At 40.1% G+C, this 6666-nt stretch overlaps 2 annotated features.

Moving 5' to 3' along the window:
- Window positions 737-1475: an enhancer, noted in NCBI's record as "H3K27ac-H3K4me1 hESC enhancer chr8:2283335-2284073 (GRCh37/hg19 assembly coordinates)". NCBI's record gives its function as "activates a minimal SCP1, AML or CMV promoter by ChIP-STARR-seq in naive H9 embryonic stem cells {active_cell/tissue: H9 hESC(naive)}" and the evidence as "EXISTENCE:reporter gene assay evidence [ECO:0000049][PMID:30033119]".
- Window positions 1476-2214: an enhancer, noted in NCBI's record as "H3K27ac-H3K4me1 hESC enhancer chr8:2282596-2283334 (GRCh37/hg19 assembly coordinates)". NCBI's record gives its function as "activates a minimal SCP1, AML or CMV promoter by ChIP-STARR-seq in naive H9 embryonic stem cells {active_cell/tissue: H9 hESC(naive)}" and the evidence as "EXISTENCE:reporter gene assay evidence [ECO:0000049][PMID:30033119]".

Here is a 6666-nt window from a genome sequence, read left to right as displayed (position 1 = left end):
TTATTTAATAATGTTGAATCTTGGCCCTCACTCTCTTCTGGCTTGTAGGGTTTCTGCAGAGAGATCCACTGTTAATCTGATGGGCTTCCTTTTGTGGGTAACCCAACCTCTGTTTCTGGCTGCCCTTAACATTTTTTCCTTCATTTCAAACTTGGTGAATCTGATGATTATGTGTCTTGGGGTTGTTCTTCTCCAGGAGTATCTTTGTGGTGTTCTCTGTATTTCCTGAATTTGAATGTTGGCCTGTCTTGCTAGACTGGGGAGGTTCTCCTGGATAATATCCTGAAGTGTGTTTTCCAACTTGGCTCCATTCTCCCCGTCACTTTCAGGTACACCAATCAAACGTAGGTTTGGTCTTTTCACATAGTCCCATAGTTCTTGGAGGCTTTGTTCATTCCTTTTCATTCTTTTTTCTCTAATCTTGTCTTCATGCTTTATTTCATTAAGTTGATCTTCAATCTCTGATATGATTTCTCCCACTTGATCAATTCTAGTATTGATACTTGTATATGCTTCACGAAGTTTTTGTGCTGTGTTTTCAGCTCCATCAGTTCATTTATGTTCTTCTCTAAACTGGATATTCTAGTTAGCAATTCTTCTAACCTTTTATTAAGGTTCTTAGCTTCCTTGCATTGGGTTAGAACATGCTCCTTTAGCTCAGAGGAGTTTATTACCCACCTTCGGAAGCCTACTTCCATCAATTTGTCAAACTCATTCTCTGTCTAGTTTTGTTTCTTTGCTGGTGAGGAGTTGTGATCCTTTGGAAGAGAAGCAGCATTCTAGTTTTTGGAATTTTCAGCCATTCTGTGCTGGGTTTTCCTCATCTTTGTGGATTTATCTACCTTTGGTCTTTGCTGTTGGTGACCTTCGAATCCTTTTTGTTGATGTTATTGCTTTCTGTTTGTTAGTTTTCCTTCTAACAGTCAGGACTCTCTTCTGCAGGTCTGCTGGAGTTTGCTGGGGGTCCACTCCACACCCTGTTTGCCTGGGTATCACAAGGGGAGGCTGCAGAACAGCAAAAATTGCTGCCTGCTCCTTCCTCTGGAAGCTTCATCCCAGAGGGGAACCTGCCAGATGGCAGTTGGAGCTCTCCTGTATGAGGTGTCTGTCAACCCCTGCTGGGAGGTGTATCCCAGTCAGGAGGCATGGGGGTCAGGGACCCACTTGAGGAGGCAGTCTGACCCTTAGCAGAGTTTGAATGCTGTGCTGGGAGAGCTGCTGCTCTCTTCAGAGCCGGGACGCAGGAACGCTTAAGTCTGCTGAAGCTGCACCCACAACTGCCTCTTCCCCCAGGTGCTCTGTCCCAGGGAGGTGGGAGTTTTATCTATAAGTCCCTGACTGGGGCTGCTGCCTTTCTTTCAGAAATGCCCTGCCCAGAGAGGAGGAATCTAGAGAGGCAGTCTGGCTACAGCGACTTTGCAGCTTGGCAGTGTTCTCTGCCCAGTCTGAACTTCTGGTGTCTTTGTTTACACTGCGAGTAGAAAACCGCCTACTCAAGCCTCAGTAATGGCAGACACCCCTCCCCCAACCAAGCTCAAGCATCCCAGGTTGACCAGACTGCTGTGCTGGCAGCTAGAATTTCCAGCCAGTGGATCTTAGCTTGCTGGGTTCTGTTGGGGTGGGATCCACTGGAGCAAGACCACTTGGCTGCCTGGCTTCAGCCCCCTTTCCAGGGGAGTGAATGGTTCTGTCTCGCTGATGTTCCAGGCGCCACTGGGGTACAAAAAAAGACTCCTGCAGCTAGCTCGGCGTCTGCCCAAATGGCGGCCCAGTTTTGTGCTTGAAACTCAGGTCCATTGTGGTGTAGGTACCCGAGGGAATCTCCTGGTGTGTGGGTTGTGAAGACTGTGGGAAAAGCATCGTATCTCGGCCTGACAGCACCATCTCTCACAGCACAGTCCCTCACGGCTTCCCTTGGCTAGGGGAGGGAGTTACCCAGCCCCTTTTGCTTCCTGGGTGAGGCAATGCCCCACCCTGCTTCTGCTCACCCTCCATGGGCTGCACCCACTGTCTAACCAGCCCCAATGAGACGAACCAAGTACCTCAGTTGGAAATGCAGAAATCACCCACCTTCTGCGTTGGTCTCGCTGGGAGCTGCAGACTGGAGCTGTCCTATCTGGCCATCTTGCCTGGGAATCCCCAGTTTCCATATCTTTTAATCTAGGCAACATTTTGCTTCACTAGACATGGAAAATACATCTGTGGTATATTAAAGTGATGAATGCACATTGGTGTAGTAATCTCAGCAGGCTTCAGTCATTTTTTTGTTAGATATTAATTTCTTGAAGGAAAAGAAAATAGATTATTTTGGATATATGATCTGTCTTCTAGGAGAAGTACTAATTAATCCCGAAAAACAGATGTACTGTAAAGAAAATCAATAAAAGCTCTCTAAAAACTCACAGACTCAGGGATTAGATTTGTCCAATATTTCTTTGTTACATTGAATAAACTCTCCACTTCATGATTCAAAATCAATAATAAACTGTATTACTTATGTATAAACAAACTCACTGTGAGGGATTTCACTCTTCATATATGTTTTATAGATGAATTTTAGAAGCAGCCTACTTGTTTGTAGATTATGAAAATATTACTTTAACATACAAATAGGAATACAGAATATTTGAATAACAACAATATTAGAATATAGCTAAATGTGCTACGAAAATACTACTGTTCACTCATTCAGCAAATAGTTATTGAATACTGTCCTGAGCTTTTCCTGCTGCTATAACAAAATTTCTTAGACTGAATAATTTATAAAGTCCTGAAATTGATTTTTCATAGTTCCGGAGGCTGGGAAGCTCAACGTCAAGGTGCTGGCAGATTTAGTGTCTGACGAGGGCTGTCTTCATTCCAGCCAATCAGAAGAGGAAAAGAGCACAGATGCTCAAACATGCAATTTTTCATGAGCCAAGTTTGAAAGAGGTATAAATCTTCTATACTCACATCCCATTGGTCAATTCCATCTTAACGTATCACCCACTTAAAAGGGGATGAGAAATGTGGCTTCTGGCTGAGTGTTCATTTTCCAGCATTGTCTTACATTACGAAAGTGGAAAAAGGGAATTTTGTGAACAGCAAAACGTGGCTCCTCCAACTTCAACCTTCTTGAGTTTTGTAAGGTTGGTGGACTGGACAGGAATTTTTTTTTAATATTTTTATTCCTTCGTAATATTTATTGCCTCGTAATATTTATTCCCTTTTCTGTCTTGTATGGTTTTGGCATCTGAATTTTCCTAGTGTTACAGAATAAAATTGAGAGTTTGCCCTCTCTTTCTGTACCTTAGAATTATTCATAGAAAGTATATTGCTCTGTTCTGTGACAACTTGGAAGAACAACTCTGTAAAACAATTTCAGCCAATTGTTTACTTAATAAAGAATTTTTAAACTGATTCCAGTGATATTTTGGTTTTCTATTCCTTTTTTATTCAATTTTGGTAAAATATTCTTAGCTATTTGGACATTTTATCTCAATTTTCTAATTTTATGGCAAAATAGCCTTTTATTACCCTGTCAATCTCTGTTGAATAGATGGTATGTCACTTTTTCATTTTTACAATTATTTATTCTGGAATTTCTCTTCCTTTTTTCTCCTAGATCTAGCTCAAGATAGGCCTATCACGATTTTGTTTGTTTGTTTTGTTTCTTTGTTTCAGCTTTTCAGAGGACAAAATTTTCACATTAATATTTTTATTTTTCATATACCTATTTTATTATCTTTATGATCTCCTTTATTAATTTGGATAATTGCGTTTTACTTTTTCTAAATTACTCTGTTGAACATTTTAAAATATAGTACCCATGGTATCATTTAGTTTAAAATACCCGATGAATCTATAACGTTAGTTATTCTTAAACCATAAATTGTTTAGTGTACATGTAGCTTTAATTTCTAACGTGTTGTTGGTATTTTCCTCTTTGTTGCTAAATATTAATTATTTATTTTATGGTTTGACAACATAGCTAGGATTTTGCTGATTCTATGTATTGTGTAGCAACTAGTCTTATGAACTAATACAACATAGATTTTTATAATAGTTCATATAACTCTAAAATATGTATATTTCCTAAATTAAGACTACAATTATTAAAAAACAAAAAATTACAATTATATTTATATGAAATAAGTTTGTTAATCATGTTTAAATTTCTATTTTACCATTTTTATGTTCTTGCCTCCCTAATCAATAATGGGGACAGGGAATTCTTCTGCTGTCAGAATATACAAACGCACGCGCACGCACAGACACACACACACACACACACAATTTTATTTTGGTCAGGAACCATGAATCACACCTATAATCCCAGCACTGTAGAAGGCCAAAGTAGGAGGACTATTTGATCCTAGGAATTTGAGACCAGCCTAGCCAACATAGCAAGATCCCATCTCTACAAAAAATTAAAATTAAATATTAGCCAGCTGTGCTGGCACCTGTAGACCCAGGTAGCCGGGAGGCTGAAGTGGAAAAATTGCTTCGGCCAGGGGAGTCTCTGTTGCAGTGAGCCCTGATCACACCACCGCACTCAGCCTGGGTAACAAAGCAAGACCCTATTCCCCCCCAAAAATTTTTAAATTTCTAGGTTTTCAATAACCTCACATTATTTTACATGTGGCTACAAATTTAGATTAGTATATCCTTCAAGAAAAATGATTACTATACCATTTTGTAATACCTCTTTTTTTTTTTTTTTTTTTTGAAATAGAGTCTCGCTCTGTCGCCCAGGCTGGAGTGCGGTGGTGCAATCTCGGCTCACTGCAAGCTCCGCCTCCCGGGTTCATGCCATTCTCCTGCCTCAGCCTCCCGAGTAGCTGGGACCACAGTCGCCCGCCACCATGCCTGGCTAATTTTGTTTTTTTTTGTATTTTTAGTAGAGATGGGGTTTCACTGTGTTAGCCAGGATGGTCTCGATCTCCTGACCTCGTGATCCACCTGCCTCGGCCTCCCAAAGTGCTGGGATTACAGGTGTGAGCCACCACGCCCAGCCTCTTAATAGCTTTTTATCCCTCTTAATGATTTTCTCCTAAAGTCAATTTTTCTAATATTACCAAGTTATCCAGTTTATGTTGTTATCATTTGTGTTACATATTTTTAAACCACTTTTCTCTGTTGTTTTGACGTGTGTTTTTGTAAACGGCACATACTAGAACTTAGTTCTCAAGTATAATCTGATAATCCTGCCTTTTAACTAATAAATGTTTTCATTTTCATTTATTATAATCAGTAATAACTGATAGAGTGAGACTTGTTTTTACTATAATTTTAAAATGTAGGTTTTGGGCCAGGTGCAGTGGCTCACGCCTGTAATCCCAGTACTTTGGGAGGCCGAGGGACGCAGATCATGAGGTCAGAAGATCGAGACCATCCTGGCTAACATGGCGAAACCCGTCTCTACTAAAAATACAAAACATTAGCCAGGCATGGTGGTGGGTGCCTGTAAGTCCCAGCTACTCAGGAGGCTGAGGCAGGAGAATGGCGTGAACCCAGGAGGCGGAGCTTGCAGTGAGCTGAAATCACGCCACTGCACTCCAGCCTGGGCCACCAAAGGAGACTCTCTCTCAAAAAATTAAAAAAAAAAAATAAAGGTAGGTTTCTTTCTATTTTCTGTCTTTCCTTTTCTCTTTCTAGTATAATTAGGGTTTTTGTTTGTTGTTACTTTGTTACTTTTTGTTGTTGAAATTCAATAACTTAGATGTTACTATTCTTATTTTGGTTACACTTGATATTTTATATTGCACACTTAAGTTAACCAAGTATAAAATAAAATTATACTCGCTTTCACAAAATATAAAATCTTAGGTATTTTAATTCTTATTTCTTTCTCTTGAGTTACGACTTGTTGGGTTTTTTCTGTCCAATATTTTAATTTCGTCTTTCCAAGAACATAGAATTTTAGACATCATTGCTTTTCTTCTCTTCAACGATATTTGTTTTTATTTACAAGCAAGTTTATAAGTTTGTTTGCTTGCCATTTCCTCCTTTATCTCAGATATTCCTCCTGGGATCATTTTCCTTCTTCTTGAAGTGTGTTCCTTATAACTTTTCACATTAAAATCTGTTGTGGCTATATTACAATACCTTATTCATCATAATTGCTGAAAAAGTAACTACTTAGAGCTGTTTATCTCCACACTATTCCATTGCCTCTGCCACTTATTGTTCCTCTTGAGAGTCCTCTGTGTGTTAATTTTCAGGCTTTTCTGAGTAACACATAGTTTGTTTTCATTCTCTGCTTGCTTTTAAGAATTTCTGCTTTGATGTCCTGCAGTTAAGGACTACTTCCTCCCCTCCCAGGTTTCAGTGGAAACCATTTGAAGGACAGGACTTGACAACAGTCCTGGAGTAACAGGTTTTCCACCCCACCCCACTGAGACAGAATCAAACAAGAGTGGGGGCTTCACCCTGCCCAGCAATGAAATGGTCAAGGCTCACAAACACACAGGAAGCCAGTGAAGGCCATGTGCGTAACAACTAGTGAGACACTTTCACCTTTCCCAGCAAGAAAGGTAGCAATGGCAACTAGTGAGGAGCCAGAAATCCTACCCTGGCCAGAAGTTACAAGCAGTAACCCTCACTGGGTGTCAACAGAGGAACCTGGATTTCTACCCTCACCTGATGGTAGTGAGTAGCACCTGTCCTTCACATATTAAACAGTGT

Source organism: Homo sapiens, chromosome 8 (genome assembly GCF_000001405.40).
Source record: "Homo sapiens chromosome 8, GRCh38.p14 Primary Assembly".
Lineage (NCBI taxonomy): Eukaryota > Metazoa > Chordata > Mammalia > Primates > Hominidae > Homo > Homo sapiens.
Note: the sequence above shows the minus strand (reverse complement) of the source record. Positions and strands in the feature narration are given on the sequence as shown.